Below are 19306 nucleotides of genomic sequence, written 5' to 3'. Positions count from 1 at the left end.
GTAGTTCCCAGGCATTGCTAATCGAATGGGTGCCTCACCAGCCCCTGTTCAGCTTCTTGGCTCTTCTAGCAGCCTTGTAACCTACTCCCTATTTTAAATTCCCTCTGCTTATAAGACCAACAGTGGCTTCTGTTCCTCTGACTGGTCCTTGACTGACATAGGGCCTTCCAAACATATTTTAAAACTTATTTTTCAGAAAATTAATAGCTTTCCTAAGAATTAAAACAATTATTCAGATAACCTAGAAAAGGTCTCTTCTAATATGAAACAAAACATTTACAGATGATAAAATCAATTCATGCATTCAAACAAATATTTACTGAGAGCCTGGTCTGTGCCAAGCACTGTTCTAGGTGCTGGGAACACTACAGTGAACAAAACAGGCATAGGCCCCTGCCCCCTAGCTTACATTCTAGGGATGTGTAAAGTGTGGCACATTATGATTTTAAAAATTAGCCAATATAGGACTGTTGCTTTAACAATAGAGGAATTTGGTAAAAGTGGATTAACTTTAAGGTGTTCTACTCTACAAAGACTTGGTTCTTACCTTTTCAATGTGGTATGAACTGTCACATTCCAGGGGCCAATACAGAACTTCTTCAAAGCTAGTATCTAGTTAAACTGGCCACTTGATCAAACAGGAGTACAACTGTGGTAAGGATTTAAGCAGACACAATAACAAAAGGTAGGCACTGTATGCTTACAGTGTAAAGCATATGCATGTTTTATGCAGAATCTTGCTTGGCATCATTTTTACAGGAAATACCATTTGGAGGAACTGAGTCTGACTCAATTTAATAAGTCACTTTATCCCTTCACTGTAGCACAGGTAGAGTCCATCAACATAACATACAAAGCCAGTGGCAGTGTACATAACAAGTAGAATGTCGCAGTCACCGATTGCATGACACGATTTCCAAGATGGAATTTTCAGGCAGAAGAACAGAAACAGACAATGACTCATGTGATGAACAGTTATATAGACAACTGTGCCCAAGAAAGCTGCCACCTACATACCATAATGACATCAGATGAAAAATGCAGAAAAAAGGTAGTTTTCCAATTTATCTAGAAAAAAAAGATTTGCTGAAAAGTATATATACTGAGAGATGAGACTGCAGCTACCTGTTTATGCATCCTAAGCACTGAGCAACCAGGAGCACACATCAGGTATTCCAAATATGACCTGCTTGAGGCTAAGAGCATGTTCAGCCTCAAAAATCAACATCAAGAGCTCCAGAAATAACATAGTATCTACTGCTGGCACTTCACTAGACTTATGCTAAAATAATTTAATGTACCCACAAAGGTACATTTCAATGGAGAATTTAATCGGCACCATGCTCAGACCTTTCTTACTATTCAGCGATCAGGAAGCGTTTCATGCCTGCAATATTTATAACCCCATGTGAATAGCAGGTGGACCTACAATACTATGGGCTTCTTACACAACAGGAAGTCTAAAGCACAGTGCATATTCAAAATCTCAATGCCACGAAGCAAGTCAACCACAGAGCTCAGGTTTTAACCTTACAGTATCCTGACTACCTGTCAAACTCTACTCCTCATCACTCCTCAACATGCAGTCAAAATATACTAAAGAATCCCCACACGCACACACACACACACAAAACAGTGCACCTTCGAGGCTTTGCACATTCTGTTCCCTCTTCCTAGAATACAAAGTTCCCTAAATTAGCTTGGCAAAGTCATACTTATCCTTTAAGACACAGCCTACTTTTCTCTTTGAAGCCATGACTTCCCGAGGAAGACTTCTTTGCCTTCTTCAATGCTTTCATTTCTCCCTGTATACCATGCCACAATAATTTCTGTATTGCATCATTTATATTTGTACACATCTGCTTCCCCATTAGACTGTAAAATCCTTGAGACTAAAGACTCTTTCTTTTAATCTATATGTCCCGGTACAATGTCTGAGAAAAAGTAGGTAGTAAGTGCTTAAGAAACATTTTCTGAATGACTATATGTAGTGGGGGATCTCAGGCTTGCGAAGTTCCCCTAAAAGATATACATTTTCTATTCTTCATCTCACTGGCACCAAATGATATTTAAAGGGCAAGGAGAACAAATAGGAAAGTATCTCTCAGGGAACAGGTTTAATATGTTGACATTAAAAGACAATCTAATGGGGATTTTGATAAATTACTTTCAGTAAAACTATCAATCTAACCATGACTGTCAGAGTTATAGTGCACTAGCTATAAAAAACCAGAAATATATGTGATCTTGGCTAGAGAAAGGCGTTTAACAACTAGAAATGGAAGCAGAACTCCTTCTGTTGTTTCACGCCATTGAATTTTTTACTTTTTAAAAGGTACCACAGGCTGGGTGCGGCGGCTCACACCTATAATCCCAGCACTTTGGGAGGCTAAGGTGGGCGATCACCTGAGGTCAGGAGTTCGAGACCAGCCTGGCCAACATGATGAAACCCCTCTCTACTAAAAATACAAAATATTAGCCAGGTGTGGTGGCAGGCGTCTCTAATCCCAGCCACTCGGGAGGCTGAGGCAGGAGAATGGCTTGAACCCGGGAAGTGGAGGTTGCAGTGAGCCAAGACCACACCACTGCACTCCAGCCTGGGCAACAGAGCGAGACTCCATCTCAAAAGAGAAAAAAAAAAAGTGCCACAGATACAGCTAAAATAATTTTAAATTGATAGGAAAGTTCATTTCTAAGGAATATTTAACAAGCAATGACTTGGCTATCAACAGAAAACAAATGTAAAGCAAAGCTAAAGATTAATGTACATGAGTTAAAACTTAAGACAACTATGAGAAAATTTCTACACAAAGAAATTCCCTGGTCTAATCTTTCATACAAGTTTGAAATCGGGAAACATCCAGAGACCATCCTCAAGGGTACCATAAAGCACATTTGCAAAAATGCCAGAACTCCATATATAGGAAATGGTTTTGGCTTAAAGACTAGGGAATTACTGGGTGAGTCATTCTAACTGTGGCTCCCAGTAACCAGACTATCTTAAAAGGGAATAAAGTCAAAAGTAAAACTAATAAAATCAAGATTAAAAAATTTATGATTAGCAATGGTAAAAGTAAATAATGCAGACATTTGTGTAACACATTAGTTTACAAGGCACTTTCATTTTTCAAACTAGGAAAACTAAACTGAGAAAGTTAGGTGGTATGTGGAATCAGGTCACCAAGCTGCAATAAGCAAAGTAAAGGAATTTAACTGGCTGTTCCAATACCAAGTCTACAGACTCTTCCATTACTCTGCCTCTCTGCCATCTTAACAGTAGGCTTATATGTGTCTATGGGCCTAGGACACTTTCTAAGATGCCTTCAAAGAGAGCAGTGTCTGCTGGGCATGGTGGCTCATGCCTGTAATCCCAGCATTTTGGGAGGCCAAGGTGGGCAGATCACTTGAGGTCAGGAGTTCCAGACCAGCCTGGACAACATGGTGAAACCTTCTCTCTGCTAAAAATATAAAAATTAGTCAGGTGCCTGTAATCCCTGCTACTCAGGAGGCTGAGGCAGGAGAACTTGAACCCGGGAGGGGGAGTTTGCAGTGAGCCAAGACTGCACCACTGTACATAGCAAGACTCCGCCTCAAAAAAAAAAAAAAAAAAAAAAAAGAGAGACAACAGTGTCTTCCAAATCATTTAAGAATAGCTTTCTACTTAGTCAAGATAACTTGGTCACAGCCTTAGAAAATACCTTCAAAGAACAAAGCACTCCTCAATGTGCATGGAAAGTGTATGCTCTCCATGTTCTGTTGATTGAAAAATACAGATGTCAAGAGCTGTGGGTAATATGCTACCATTTGCATAAAAGCACTGCAAAGGAATATATTTAAATGTAATTGTTTGTCTATGCATACATTATCTCTTAAAAGTCACGTAAGAAATTGCCGACAATGGGCTAGGTGTGGTGGCTCACACCTGTAATCCAAGCACTTTGGGAGGCTGAGGTTGGTGGATCACCCGAGGCCAGGAGTTCGAGGCCAGCCTGACCAACATGGTGAAACCCCATCTCTACTAAAAATACAAATATTAGCTGGGCGTGGTGGTGGGCGCCCAGCTACTCGAGAGGCTGAGGCAGGAGAATCACTTGAACCCAGGAGGGAGAGGTTGCAGTGAACCAAGATCTTGCCATCGCACGCCAGCCTGGGCAACAAGAGCGAAACTCTGTCTCAAAAAAAAAAAAAAAGAAAAGAAAAGAAAAGAAATTGCCAACAATTGTTACTTCCACGGAGTGAAAATGGTGGCTCAGAGATGAGGGACAGCAGAATGATTTTATACCGTACATATTCCCCTTTGGACCTTTTGGATTTTGAACTACATGAAAGTGCTACCTTTTTCAAAAAGTACATTTAAATGTAGATTTAAAAATATAGGAGTTGGAACAGAGGCAGTGGTTGGGTGGGGTGAAACATTTCAGAGATAGGATGTAGCAGAAGAAGGGAAAAGCAAAAAATTATTACACTTTCTGTTGGACTCTAGAATTTCATGTGGTGTTTCAGTCTGAAGTAAATACTCCTCAAGATGATCAAATGTCTTGTACTCTTAACTCTTTGCTCTGCCGGGTATGGTGTGTCACACCTGTAATCCCAGCACTCTGGGAGGCTGAGATGGGAGGACTGCTTCAGCCCAGGAGTTAGAACTAGCCTGAGAAACATAGTGAGACCCTGTCTCAATTGTAGATAAGCCAGTAAATAAATAAATAAATCTTTGCCCATCAAACAGCCCTCAATTTCTCACAAACCTTGACACTAAGAAAGGAGTGTCCCAATAGTGGACACAAATATTTAGGTCATCAGAAAGGTATAGTCAGCCCTCCATTAGAAATGGGTTCTGCATCTGTGGATTCAAACAACTGCAGATTGAAAATATTCGAAAAAATGGCTGGGCCCCGTGGCACACGCCTGTAGTCCCAGCACTTTGGGAGGCTAAGTGGGAGGACAGCTTGAGCCCAGGAGTCTGAGGCTACAGTGAGCTATAATCGCACCACTGCACTCCAGCCTGGGTGGCAGAGCAAGACCCCGTCTCTAAAAAAAATAAAAAGGAAAGAAAATATTCAGTAAAAAATGAATGGTTGCATCTGTACAGAACATGTGCAGACTTTTTTCCTTCTCATTATTCCCTAAATTATACAGAGTAACAACTACTGGCATAGCATTAACATTGTATTAGATATTATAAGTAATCTAGAGATGATTTAAAGTATAAGGGAGGATGTGTATAAGTTATATGCAAGCACTACAACATTTATATCAGGGACTTGAGCATCTGTGGATTTTAGTACCCCAGAAGGTTCCTGGAACCAATCCCCCCTGGATACCAAAGGACAACTGTAGATCCTTTCATGGTAAATAAGATAGTGTCCAGTTTAAAACACAGTCTCTGACGGGGTGGCTTAGCAATTATTCCTGACACACTGATAAAATCTGGAACTGCTGAGCTAGAAGTTAAAACTTGGACCAGTATGACCCCAAGTACAAAGGAAGTATGACCCATACCCAAAAATGGAACCCAGCCTCAATCAGCCAGAGTTACCATTGACATATCTGGAATTTTCAGTAGTTTTGTCCTCTGTTCTATCACTACCTAAGTTAGTCCAAAAGTTCACCCTAAAAGTCACATTAACCCCAGGGCTTTGGGTAATGAAGAAATCACATCTTGAGCCTAGAGAGAATCATAGCATTTCTTAAATAGGCAGCCCCAAAGCAGTTTCCTTTCCCACACTGAAATTACTGGAATGGTTTAGTGGTCCCAGAAACTGGTAAGACTCGTGCCCAGGACAGTTAAAAACCCCAGGATCAACAAAACTTGTACGAAGTAAAAAGAACACAAGCTTGTTCTCTATTCTGATGTTTATTTGTTGTGTTTTGTTTTAGAGACAGGGTCTTGCTCTCTGACCCAGGCTGCAGCGCAGTGGCACTCAATCATGGCCCACTGCAGCTTCGACCTCCTGGGCTCAGTTGCCCAGGTGATCCTCCTGCCTCAGCCTCCTGAGTAGCTGGGACCACAGATGCACAACACCACACCCAGCTAATTTTTTAACTATTTGTAGAGACAAGGTCACACTATGTTGCCCAGGCTGGTCTTGAACTCCTGGACTCAAGTGATCCTCCCTCCTTGGCCTCTCAAAGTGCTGGGATTACAGGTTTGAGCCACCACACCCAGCCTCTATTCCGAAGTTTAAATCACATACCTTGAAAGTCAACTAATAAATGTTCCTAAATAAGTATAAGAATTTAAAAATAAAAGTCATTGCCAAAGAGTTATATTTTGGAACATTGCAAAAATACCTGCTCATAGGTCGATAGTCTATGCCACATCATCTAACTGGATATTAATAGATGAGCAATCACTCACCATATCCTGTACAGTTAACTTCCAATTTTTTAGGAAAGGACACAGGAATACAGGTAAATAAACTGAAACCCAATTCTCATTTTAGCCAACACTTTTTAAATTCCTCCTCCAATGAAATGTATTTTTTATCAGCGCTAACAGGTAACAATTTATTGATCCAAACGTCTTTTCCTTCAACAATCTGATAGTTGTCCAAATGATCATTATGACAACCAAAATTAGAAAACAGCAGGGGAAAAAGAGTGAGAGGGCTTGGAGGGGTGGAATGGGATAGGTAATTCATAAATTGGATAAACAGAGGCCTCAACAAATGCCTATTTGTCATAATCTAAAGATGACTGACCCATTGTCATCTCATTTTTAATACAATGACCAAGTCCCTGAAGCCACCTGGTAAAATGTAAAACGAACTTCTGAAAAGAAATTGAGGATCCAGGATTCTACCATCAACAGTAGTTAATAAAGTTTACAAGCCAGCAGTTACTAGTTCTCATTAAGAATTAACTGATATTTCATAACCTGATCCCCAGTAAGCTTATTAATAAAAAGCAACGGAAATTTCGGGCTGGGCATGGTGGCTCACACCTGTAATCCCAGCACTTTGGAAGGCTGAGGCGGGTGGATCACCTGAGGTCAGGAGTTCAAGACCAGCCTGGCCAACATGGTGAAACCCTGTCTCTACTAAAAATACAAAAATCAGCTGGGCATGGTGGCGGGCGCCTGTAATCCCAGGTACTCGGGAGGCTGAGGCAGGAGAATCACTTGAACCCGGGAGGCAGAGGTTGCAGTGAGCCGAGATTGCACCATTGCACTCCAGCCTGGGCGACAAAGCGAAACTGTCTCAAAAAATAAAAATAAAAAATAAAATAAATAAAAAGCAATGGAAATTTGGAGGAAGAAGTAGTGAATCAGCCTCTCTCTTCCATGTGCTGTATTTTATTGGAATATGAGTAAGTATAAGGGTAATATGAGAAATGGGGGGGGGGGTTCTAGTCACCAAAATGGCATCTGACTCTCCAAATGCAGCAATGCTCACTCCAGTGGGTTGCTTCACTGTGACTCAAGATCTGTCAAATGAGGACATAAGGGAATTTGAATAAAGCCAAGATACACTCCTAAAATAAACCAAATCTTCCAATAGACCTAACAGAAGATGTAACAAGAATCAAGAAGCTAACCTACTCAACATAAATTGATTCTAAAATACTTTTTAAAATGAATTATTGCTAATGCAAAAATTCAGGAAAGAAGTCTAGGAATTTGTTTTCCTAATGGCACATTCCATTTATCTGTTGGTAGAGGTCACTAAAATACATTACTAGGTGTCTATGTATCCCTCCCCTGTTCTCCTTTTATAACCTTATTCTTCAAAAATAAAAGGTAATTAAGTGAAAGCATCAATTAAATATGTCCTTCCTTTCTCAAAATAGATAAATACGAATATAACTGAATCTTTGTTTTATAGTATATGCCCACTACGCTGTACGGCAAACAACCATGGCAAATCCACTGCATTATGAACAAAAGTAAATTGTCGCCCCCAAAATATAACTATCCATTTCGACCCAACCAAAGGGAAAATAATTTTCCCAATCCTCCAATTATATGCCAAAAGAATTAGAAAATACAGGAAAAAAAGATTCATAGAAGCTTGTATAAATGTCAAGTGCCAACATTTCACTAATAACCAAGATTTCCTATTGTACTGACTTTTAATTGTATCAAATCATGAATCTTCTAGGGCACAGAAAACAAAGACTAAATGGTTCTGCCAATTTACAATGATCATATTTCACCTTTAGAAGTGTAATCGCCATGGAAGCAATGAATTCATCGAATTCATCTTTCTCTCTCCACTGATTAAACGGATCCTGCACTACAGGCATAATCGGCTAGTTTCTGCCACCACTCATACATAGGCCTCCAACGCACTCTACAAGCCAGGGCTACACTGCCTAGAAATCCGCACTGTGTCACTGCATAAGGCAGTTTCCCACTGCACACATCCAGAAGAATAAAGTCACCTAAGCACTCTTGTCAGATCTTAGCAAGGCTGCAAAATGACAGGAGTTGCTAACCAAATAGCAGGAAGCAAAAATCACCACCTTTAAAAATCATTTAAGCAGTTTTCCTTTCCGCCATCTCACTTCCCTCCTCCTCCTCCTCGTCATTCTCTCTCTCTCTCTCTCACACACACACACACACACACACACACACGCACGCACGCACGCACGCAATGCAGTTCATCCCCAGCTTTGCAAGTGACATGCTGGGAGCTCTCTCTGGACAGCCGGCCCAGAACTCATTCAGAGCCCTCAAATACAGACATTCTCACCTGAACACGCCAGGCAACTTCCACCCGCACCATCACCTCCACCCTCCCCGACACACACAGACTCGCCCTCGCAAGCTCTACCCATACCAATCCCCCAGCTGCAGAAAGCCCAGTAGGCTCACTGCAAGCGCAGCACGCGTTACCACTTATAAGCCGAGTTGGGCGGCCTAAGCTTCAGAAACCGCCTCTTCACGCAGCCCACCCCCACCACCCCGGCGCGGCTGGACCCCTGGCCCGCCAGGTGGGATGCGCTACCTTTAGACTGGCAATCTGCACAAAACTTGTTATCCTCCTCCAGCAGCAGGTTGGCCAGGACAGCCTGGTACCGATCCACGTCCTTCACCGACTTGCCTGTCATGGCCAGGGTGCCGGCGGGGGCAGAGGGCGACGCGCCCTCCTCGCCCCCAGAGACCCCTGCCTCAGTCCGGGGTTGAGGACTCCCGGTCCCCCGCCCAGGGGCACCTCCTGAGCGGGGAGAGCCCTCTCCTCCGGCCCCGCCGGACGCCCCTTCCCGGGTCGGGGGCGTCCGTCCCCCACTCCGCAGCCCCTCGGCGCGGCGCCCCTTGGCGGGCTTAGGGACAGGCCCGCCTCCAAGAGAGGCTGCGGGGCCAGAGACCCTCAGCCCAGGCAAAGGCGGACCACGAGCCTCCTGGGTGCCGGACGCAGATGACCCTCTGGCCGGCCTGTCTGCTGGCCTTGCGTCCCGCGCCTCGGTTTCCCTGGCAGCTGCCGTCAGCTCCGCTACCACCTCCACCGCCTACTTCCGGCAGCTCTTCCTCCCCACCTCCACCCTGCCCAGCTCGCGCATGCGCCCCGCCCCCACCGCGCCGCACTGGGCTCTTCCTTCAGCTCCGCCTCTCGGGAACCAATCCGTGGAGAAGCGGGGGGCGGGCCTTGGGTGGGGGCGGAGGGAAGGGGTGGGCACGCCCCCTGCGTGTCCTTGGAAGAGAATGAATGGAGCCTGGTAGAAAGGGAGTGGAGGGAATGGAAGAAAGTGAAGGAAGACAACAACTAACATTTACTGAGCTCTTACTATGCGCTAGGCACTGTGTTAAGCGCTTTGCATGAACTATCCCAACATAATCCTCACAACGACCCTATGATCATCCTTATGTAACCTGAGGGTTGTTGATACCCCAAAGTCCTCCAGCTTGTTTTTTCCAACAGCCAAATATAAGAGTCCAAGCCCCTAACCCAGGATATAGGAACGTCACCCCCTCCCCACATTTTCAGAGGACTCTGGTCACCTCTCACTTGGAATACCTGCTCCCACTAATACTCATTAGCTCTCCTCTGTGACTCCTGCCTTTTTGGATATTGTTTGGCCTGGTGCCCAGACAGTTTGTTTCTTCTTCCATTTCTTAAATTCTCACAAAACAGCGAGTTTTTTGTGGCAGACTTTTACTGAACGTTATTTGGGAAGGGTGGGGGACAGTGATTAAAGCATAGCACACAACAGGCAACTCCTTAAAAATGATTATTAAACATCATCATCCAAAGCCACCGTTGCTACAGATAATTTCTCATTGGCTGTCCTTTTCCTTAGGGATCCACCTGCCATCTGGCTTGTGTTTTCATTCACTCATTCATTCATTCATTCACTGAGCACGATGTTACTGAGAAATTTCTAAGTATCAGGCACTGTACTAGGGGAGAGGGAAACAGCATGATCCGATTTGTGGTTTTAAAAGGTCACTCTGGCTGCCATGGAAATAATTAATCAGGGAAGATAGTAAGCAGATGCTAAGAGTTATCTAAACTCTGGTGAAACCCTCTCCTCCATTTCTTTACTTTCTCCCAAGACCAGGATCCCCTCAAAGCTTTCATCTCATCAGAGGAAAACTAAACATTTCTATTACTTTATTAATCACAACAATTAAATTTTCTGGCTAAGCCTCTTCCCTTCTAGCCATGCCTAGGGGACTTGACTTTTAAAAACACACAAGTTCATTGGGGTGTTTTTCCTCAGAAAACCCATCCAAGTAGGTATTACCATAACCATTTTTCAGTTGAAATAGACAGTCAAGATTAACTAGTTACTGGGTGTGGTGGCACATACCTGTAGTCCTAGCTACTCAGGATGCCAGAGCCAGAGCATCACTTGAGCCCAGGAGTTGGAATCCAGCCTGGGCAACACAGTAAGAACCACCCCTCCAACCCCCAATGTACCCCGTTACCCTGTCTCAAACAACAACAACAACAACAAAACCCAGTTAATTGCGGTGAGTGGTGATTGTACCTTAGTTCAAGCCCTCCCCATCTTCATCTCCTCACTCTGCAAATAGCCTTCCTGCCTTAGTCTAAATCTGGTTAAATTAATCCTTCACCGTGCTCTCTAGAGGGAGCTTTTAAATGCCAATTCTGATGGACTCACACTTCCTGCTTAAAAAATCCTTTAGTGGCTCTCCATTGCCTATGGCAGTGTTTCTCAAATTGTTCCCACCTAGTGAGAGATCTCATGGCTTTGTGGTTAAGCACACAGACTCTGGGGCAAGAATGCTTAAGTTTAAATCTTCAGCTTTTACCACCTATTATCTGTGTGACTTTGAGCAGGTTACTTAGCCTCTTGGTGCCTCAGTTATTTCATCTATAGAATGGGAATGATGATAACATTAATAGTACCTATTTCACAAGATTATTATGAGGCTTAGCTGAGATAATGCCTGTAATATAATTAGAACAGCCCTTGGTAGATAGTGAATGATAGACAATTAGCGCTCTTCACTAAATATTTCTGGCGTTTTGCCTTCTGAGCACATGGTAGGATTTTATTTCCTGGCCTTCAAGTGATTGGGAAAGACCAATGAGTTTGAGCAGAAAGGATGGATTACTTTGTCTCTGAAGCATTTATTTGTTGCTTTGAGCCTCTTGTGCTTCTCTTTCCCTCTGGCATGGCAACTATTGATGCTGAAGATGTTGGTTGCTCTATTAGCCTGGATTTCTGTGTAGCTGATAAACAAGAGCTCTCTGCCAGCCCATAGAGGATAACTTAGCATAAGCAAGAAATAAGCATTGTGTTGCCATTGAGTTTTGTTTGTTTACCACTGTATAAGCTAGCCTATCCTAGCAGATACATCAAGTATTAGCTCTTTTTATTATCATTACTAATAGCAGAGTAAAGTGAGTGCATAGCCCAGGGTCTGAGGATATAAACAAAGCAAACTGCTCCTCCCAAGTACACATTTTTTTTTTTGAAGTCTTGAATTTTGCTTTGACTAGTCTTGCAAAAATGTTCACTCTGTTCCATCATGCACATGTTATCTTATCATAAAACTGTTTCCACATTAGTTATAAAATTTTTTTTTTTGAGACCGAGTCTCGCTCTGTCGCCAGGCTGGAGTGCAGTGGTGCGATCTCGGCTCACTGCAACCTCCGCCTCCCAGGTTCAAGCAATTCTCCTGCCTCAGCCTCCCAAGTAGCTAGGACTACAGGCACGTGCCACCACTCCTGGCTAATTTTTTGTATTTTAATAGAGGCAGGGTTTCACCCTGTTAGCCAGGATGGTCTCAATCTCCTGACCTCGTGACCCGCCCACCTCAGCCTCCCAAAGTACTAGGATTACTGGCATGAGCCACCGCGCCTGGCCAGTTATAGAATTTTCTTTTCTTTTTTTTTTTTTTTTATTATACTTTAAGTTTTAGGGTACATGTGCACATTGTGCAGGTTAGTTACATATGTATACATGTGCCATGCTGGTGCGCTGCACCCACTAACTCGTCATCTAGCATTAGGTATATCTCCCAATGCTATCCCTCCCCCCTCCCCCTACCCCACCACAGTCCCCAGAGTGTGATATTCCCCTTCCTGTGTCCATGTGATCTCATTGTTCAATTCCCACCTATGAGTGAGAATATGCGGTGTTTGGTTTTTTGTTCTTGTGATAGTTTACTAAGAATGATGATTTCCAATTTCATCCATGTCCCTACAAAGGACATGAACTCATCATTTTTTATGGCTGCATAGTATTCCATGGTGTATATGTGCCACATTTTCTTAATCCAGTCTATCATTGTTGGACATTTGGGTTGGTTCCAAGTCTTTGCTATTGTGAATAATGCCGCAATAAACATACGTGTGCATGTGTCTTTATAGCAGCATGATTTATAGTCATTTGGGTATATACCCAGTAATGGGATGGCTGGGTCAAATGGTATTTCTAGTTCTAGATCCCTGAGGAATCGCCACACTGACTTCCACAATGGTTGAACTAGTTTACAGTCCCACCAACAATGTAAAAGTGTTCCTATTTCTCCACATCCTCTCCAGCACCTGTTGTTTCCTGACTTTTTAATGATTGCCATTCTAACTGGTGTGAGATGGTATCTCATTGTGGTTTTGATTTGCATTTCTCTGATGGCCAGTGATGATGAGCATTTTTTCATGTGTTTTTTGGCTGCATAAATGTCTTCTTTTGAGAAGTGTCTGTTCATGTCCTTTGCCCACTTTTTGATGGGGTTGTTTGTTTTTTTCTTGTAAATTTGGTTGAGTTCATTGTAGATTCTGGATATTAGCCCTTTGTCAGATGAGTAGGTTGCGAAAATTTTCTCCCATTTTGTAGGTTGCCTGTTCACTCTGATGGTAGTTTCTTTTGCTGTGCAGAAGCTCTTTAGTTTAATTAGATCCCATTTGTCAATTTTGTCTTTTGTTGCCATTGCTTTTGGTGTTTTGGACATGAAGTCCTTGCCCATGCCTATGTTCTGAATGGTAATGCCTAGGTTTTCTTCTAGGGTTTTTATGGTTTTAGGTCTAACGTTTAAATCTTTAATCCATCTTGAATTGATTTTTGTATAAGGTGTAAGGAAGGGATCCAGTTTCAGCTTTCTACATATGGCTAGCCAGTTTTCCCAGCACCATTTATTAAATAGGGAATCCTTTCCCCATTTCTTGTTTTTCTCAGGTTTGTCAAAGATCAGACAGTTGTAGGTATGCGGCGTTATTTCTGAGGGCTCTGTTCTGTTCCATTGATCTATATCTCTGTTTTGGTACCAGTACCATGCTGTTTTGGTTATTGTAGCCTTGTAGTAAAGTTTGAAGTCAGGTAGTGTGATGCCTCCAGCTTTGTTCTTTTGGCTTAGGATTGACTTGGCGATGTGGGCTCTTTTTTGGTTCCATATGAACTTTAAAGTAGTTTTTTCCAATTCTGTGAAGAAAGTCATTGGTAGCTTGATGGGGATGGCATTGAATCTGTAAATTACCTTGGGCAGTATGGCCATTTTCACAATATTGATTCTTCCTACCCATGAGCATGGAATGTTCTTCCATTTGTTTGTATCCTCTTTTATTTCCTTGAGCAGTGGTTTGTAGTTCTCCTTGAAGAGGTCCTTCACATCCCTTGTAAGTTGGATTCCTAGGTATTTTATTCTCTTTGAAGCAATTGTGAATGGGAGTTCACTCATGATTTGGCTCTCTGTTTGTCTGTTGTTGGTGTATAAGAATGCTTGTGATTTTTGTACATTGATTTTGTATCCTGAGACTTTGCTGAAGTTGCTTATCAGCTTAAGGAGATTTTGGGCTGAGACAATGGGGTTTTCTAGATATACAATCATGTCATCTGCAAACAGGGACAATTTGACTTCCTCTTTTCCTAATTGAATACCCTTTATTTCCTTCTCCTGCCTAATTGCCCTGGCCAGAACTTCCAACACTATGTTGAATAGGAGTGGTGAGAGAGGGCATCCCTGTCTTGTGCCAGTTTTCAAAGGGAATGCTTCCAGTTTTTGCCCATTCAGTATGATATTGGCTATGGGTTTGTCATAGATAGCTCTTATTATTTTGAAATACGTCCCATCAATACCTAATTTATTGAGAGTTTTTAGCATGAAGGGTTGTTGAATTTTGTCAAAGGCTTTTTCTGCATCTATTGAGATAATCATGTGGTTTTTGTCTTTGGTTCTGTTTATATGCTGGATTACATTTATTGATTTGCGTATATTGAACCAGCCTTGCATCCCAGGGATGAAGCCCACTTGATCATGGTGGATAAGCTTTTTGATGTGCTGCTGGATTCGGTTTGCCAGTATTTTATTGAGGATTTTTGCATCAATGTTCATCAAGGATATTGGTCTAAAATTCTCTTTTTTTGTTGTGTCTCTGCCCGGCTTTGGTATCAGAATGATGCTGGCCTCATAAAATGAGTTAGGGAGGATTCCCTCTTTTTCTATTGATTGGAATAGTTTCAGAAGGAATGGTACCAGTTCCTCCTTGTACCTCTGGTAGAATTCGGCTGTGAATCCATCTAGTCCTGGACTCTTTTTGGTTGGTAAGCTATTGATTATTGCCACAATTTCAGCTCCTGTTATTGGTCTATTAAGAGATTCAACTTCTTCCTGGTTTAGTCTTGGGAGAGTGTATGTGTCGAGGAATTTATCCATTTCTTCTAGATTTTCTAGTTTATTTGCGTAGAGGTGTTTGTAGTATTCTCTGATGGTAGTTTGTATTTCTGTGGGATCGGTGGTGCTATCCCCTTTATCATTTTTTATTGTGTCTATTTGATTCTTCTCTCTTTTTTTCTTTATTAGTCTTGCTAGCGGTCTATCAATTTTGTTGATCCTTTCAAAAAACCAGCTCCTGGATTCACTGATTTTTTGAAGGGTTTTTTGTGTCTCTATTTTCTTCAGTTCTGCTCTGATTTTAGTTATTTCTTGCCTTCTGCTAGCTTTTGAATGTGTTTGCTCTTGCTTTCTAGTTCTTTTAATTGTGATGTTAGGGTGTCAATTTTGGATCTTTCCTGCTTTCTCTTGTGGGCATTTAGTGCTAAAAATTTCCCTCTACACACTGCTTTGAATGCATCCCAGAGATTCTGGTATGTTGTGTCTTTGTTCTCGTTGGTTTCAAAGAACATCTTTATTTCTGCCTTCATTTCGTTATGTACCCAGTAGTCATTCAGGAGCAGGTTGTTCAGTTTCCATGTAGTTGAGCGGCTTTGAGTGAGATTCTTAATCCTGAGTTCTAGTTTGATTGCACTGTGGTCTGAGAGATAGTTTGTTATAATTTCTGTTCTTTTACATTTGCTGAGGAGAGCTTTACTTCCAAGTATGTGGTCAATTTTGGAATAGGTGTGGTGTGGTGCTGAAAAAAATGTATATTCTGTTGATTTGGGGTGGAGAGTTCTGTAGATGTCTATTAGGTCCGCTTGGTGCAGAGCTGAGTTCAATTCCTGGGTATCCTTGTTGACTTTCTGTCTCGTTGATCTGTCTAATGTTGACAGTGGGGTGTTAAAGTCTCCCATTATTATTGTGTGGGAGTCTAAGTCTCTTTGTAGGTCACTCAGGACTTGCTTTATGAATCTGGGTGCTCCTGTATTGGGTGCATATATATTTAGGATAGTTAGCTCTTCTTGTTGAATTGATCCCTTTACCATTATGTAATGGCCTTCTTTGTCTCTTTTGATCTTTGTTGGTTTAAAGTCTGTTTTATCAGAGACTAGGATTGCAACCCCTGCCTTTTTTTGTTTTCCATTTGCTTGGTAGATCTTCCTCCATCCTTTTATTTTGAGCCTATGTGTGTCTCTGCACGTGAGATGGGTTTCCTGAATACAGCACACTGATGGGTCTTGACTCTTTATCCAATTTGCCAGTCTGTGTCTTTTAATTGGAGCATTTAGTCCATTTACATTTAAAGTTAATATTGTTATGTGTGAATTTGATCCTGTCATTATGATGTTAGCTGGTGATTTTGCTCGTTAGTTGATGCAGTTTCTTCCTAGTCTCGATGGTCTTTACATTTTGGCATGATTTTGCAGTGGCTGGTACGGGTTGTTCCTTTCCATGTTTAGCGCTTCCTTCAGGAGCTCTTTTAGGGCAGGTCTGGTGGTGACAAAATCTCTCAGCATTTGCTTGTCTGTAAAGTATTTTATTTCTCCTTCACTTATGAAGCTTAGCTTGGCTGGATATGAAATTCTGGGTTGAAAATTCTTTTCTTTAAGAATGTTGAATATTGGCCCCCACTCTCTTCTGGCTTGTAGGGTTTCTGCTGAGAGATCCGCTGTTAGTCTGATGGGCTTCCCTTTGAGGGTAACCCGACCTTTCTCTCTGGCTGCCCTTAACATTTTTTCCTTCATTTCAACTTTGGTGAATCTGACAATTATGTGTCTTGGAGTTGCTCTTCTCGAGGAGTATCTTTGTGGCGTTCTCTGTATTTCCTGAATCTGAACGTTGGCCTGCCTTGCTAAATTGGGGAAGTTCTCCTGGATAATATCCTGCAGAGTGTTTTCCAACTTGGTTCCATTCTCCCCATCACTTTCAGGTACACCAATCAGATGTAGATTTGGTCTTTTCACATAGTCCCATATTTCTTGGAGGCTTTGCTCATTTCTTTTTACTCTTCTTTCTCTAAACTTCCCTTCTCGCTTCATTTCATTCATTTCATCTTCCATTGCTGACACCCTTTCTTCCAGTTGATCGCATCGGCTCCTGAGGCTTCTGCATTCTTCACGTAGTTCTCGAGCCTTGGTTTTCAGCTCCATCAGCTCCTTTAAGCACTTCTCTGTATTGGTTATTCTAGTTATACATTCTTCTAAATTTTTTTCAAAGTTTTCAACTTCTTTGCCTTTGGTTTGAATGTCCTCCCGTAGCTCAGAGTAATTTGATCGTCTGAAGCCTTCTTCTCTCAGCTCGTCAAAGTCATTCTCCATCCAGCTTTGTTCTGTTGCTGGTGAGGAGCTGCGTTCCTTTGGAGGAGGAGAGGCGCTCTGATTTTTGGAGCTTCCAGTTTTTCTGTTCTGTTTTTTCCCCATCTTTGTGGTTTTATCTACTTTTGGTCTGTGATGATGGTGATGTACAGATGGGTTTTTGGTGTGGATGTCCTTTCTGTTTGTTAGTTTTCCTTCTAACAGACAGGACCCTCAGCTGCAGGTCTCAGATGGAAATGCAGAAATCACCGGTCTTCTGCGTCGGTCACGCTGGGAGCTGTAGACCGGAGCTGTTCCTATTCGGCCATCTTGGCTCCTCCCCGAATGTATCCAGTTATAGAATTTTCTATCTGTCCCAGTGGCCACTGAGCATAGTTTGGTTGCACTGTATCTAATGGATTTCAGAAAATTGGAATGAATTGAAGAATCCTGATACCACATTTCATACTCAGCTTCCAGATAATTTCTCTTTATTGTTTTTATTTTGTTTTGTTTTGCTTTGGTGGCAGTAGAATTTATTAGAATGTGCCTTTTAAAAATTATTTGAAATAGAGATGGAGTCTTGCTTTGTTGCTCAGGATGGTCTTGAATTCATAGCCTAAAATGATCCTCACACCTTGGCCTCCCAAAGTGCTGAGGTTACAGGCATGAGCCTAGAATGTGGCTTAATACAGGCACGTGGGCTTGCCCACGGTGCTCTCAGTATATAAAGCTTGAATGTCTTGGCAATTTTTCTTGAGTAATGACACTAGGAAGTTGACAGCCAGGTGAATGTTATGTACAAGCTCATCGTCTGTCATCTTCACATGGCCAACAGCCACAGCCAGACATAGCACCTTCTTCATCTGAAACTGGGTTGTGGACTTCACCTCATCCACTTTGGCCACCATGTTTTTGTTGTGTGTCAGCAGGGGAGGGAACTTACCCACCTTATTTAGGCCTGGGCCAAGGATTCATGGGATCTGCTTGATCAGAGACTCTGAGGCTAAAAAGACATTATACTTTTTGACAGCTGTTTGACCGATTATTATTCTTATTGAGCTTTTCAGCACCTTGATGTCCCTGTGGAGGATATCCACAGCCTTGAGCCATTTTTTTTTTTTTTGGAGACAGGGTCTCACTTTGTCATCCAGGCTGGAGTGCAGAGGCTCGAACATAGCTCACTGCAACCTCGACTTCCCAGGCTCAAGCAGTCCTCCCACCTCAGCCTCCTGAGTAGCTGGGACTACAGGCGTACATCACCATGTCCAGCTAATTTTGTGTATTTTTTGTAGAGACAGGGTTTCACCATGTTGCCCAGGTTGGTCCTGAGCTCCTGGAATCAAGCGATCCTCCTGCCTTGGCCTCCCAAAGTGCTGGGATTACAGGCATGAATCACTGTGCCTGGCCCATCTTATTTTTCTTTAATAAATTATTTTCTGTTTGTAGAAATAGGATCTGGCTATGTTGCCCAGGCTGTCTCAAACTCCTGGCCTCAAACAATCCTCTCCACTCAGCCTCTCAAAGTGCTGGGATTACAGGTGTGAGCCACCTTGCTTGCCCTCTTTTTTTTCTTTAAATCAGAGTATTTTGAAACCCCAACTCACATAAATAAGGACAAAATAAAAACCACTATACTAGAGAAGCCACAGTAATAAAATGCCCAGATTACTACCAAGAAAGAGGTATGGTGAACATTTTTGGACTATTGCCACAGGAAACTCTCATTAGTGTATCTTATAGCTAAGAGATCAAAATCTCTTAAGCCATATGTTAATCAGTTTCTGATTCACTGGCCAGTCACTTTACCTATACCAGATAACACTCATAGAATGACCTGTTCATTTAGAAAGCTGGATAATTATGCTCCCTGTTTTACTATGAGCTCAGTGTTATTTGTCACATGCAAATGAGCTTGGTGAGACTAAGCTTAGTGAGCTTCGTGATTCCCCTCTGGCTACAGCTGGTCTAAATGCTGCCTCTGGGGGCACCAGCTGAGTTCTGC

The 19306-nt window shown here is 42.3% G+C and overlaps 1 protein-coding gene across 11 annotated transcripts in view, besides 3 other annotated features; it reads right to left on the bottom strand.

Annotated features, from left to right (window-relative positions):
* Positions 1 to 19306, bottom strand: part of SMAP2 (small ArfGAP2) — a 78493-nt gene that overhangs the window by 40155 nt on the left and 19032 nt on the right. For 3 of the 11 annotated variants that reach the window (XM_047428013.1, XM_047428012.1, XM_047428016.1), the window contains exon 1: positions 548 to 3591. The exons of 3 other annotated variants lie outside the window; for them this stretch is intronic. Coding sequence is in view for 2 of the 8 variants with exons in the window: in NM_022733.3 (NP_073570.1) it covers positions 8949 to 9051 (103 nt within the window). In the remaining 6 variants the exon portion in view is untranslated. Of the gene's footprint in view, positions 1 to 547; positions 3592 to 7355; positions 7426 to 8463; positions 8540 to 8948; positions 9446 to 19306 lie in introns of those variants that run through there. 5 more of the 11 variants (XM_011541960.3, NM_022733.3, XM_047428014.1 and 2 more) reach the window with 4 other exon arrangements.
* Positions 8688 to 9187: an enhancer, noted in NCBI's record as "H3K27ac hESC enhancer chr1:40839657-40840156 (GRCh37/hg19 assembly coordinates)". NCBI's record gives its function as "activates a minimal SCP1, AML or CMV promoter by ChIP-STARR-seq in primed H9 embryonic stem cells {active_cell/tissue: H9 hESC(primed)}" and the evidence as "EXISTENCE:reporter gene assay evidence [ECO:0000049][PMID:30033119]".
* Positions 9173 to 9312: a silencer, noted in NCBI's record as "silent region_727". NCBI's record gives its function as "represses an Ori minimal core promoter by ATAC-STARR-seq in GM12878 lymphoblastoid cells {active_cell/tissue: GM12878}" and the evidence as "EXISTENCE:reporter gene assay evidence [ECO:0000049][PMID:35858748]".
* Positions 9383 to 9702: a silencer, noted in NCBI's record as "silent region_726". NCBI's record gives its function as "represses an Ori minimal core promoter by ATAC-STARR-seq in GM12878 lymphoblastoid cells {active_cell/tissue: GM12878}" and the evidence as "EXISTENCE:reporter gene assay evidence [ECO:0000049][PMID:35858748]".

This window comes from Homo sapiens, chromosome 1 (genome assembly GCF_000001405.40).
Source record: "Homo sapiens chromosome 1, GRCh38.p14 Primary Assembly".
In the NCBI taxonomy this organism is placed as follows: Eukaryota; Metazoa; Chordata; class Mammalia; order Primates; family Hominidae; genus Homo; species Homo sapiens.
Note: the sequence above shows the minus strand (reverse complement) of the source record. Positions and strands in the feature narration are given on the sequence as shown.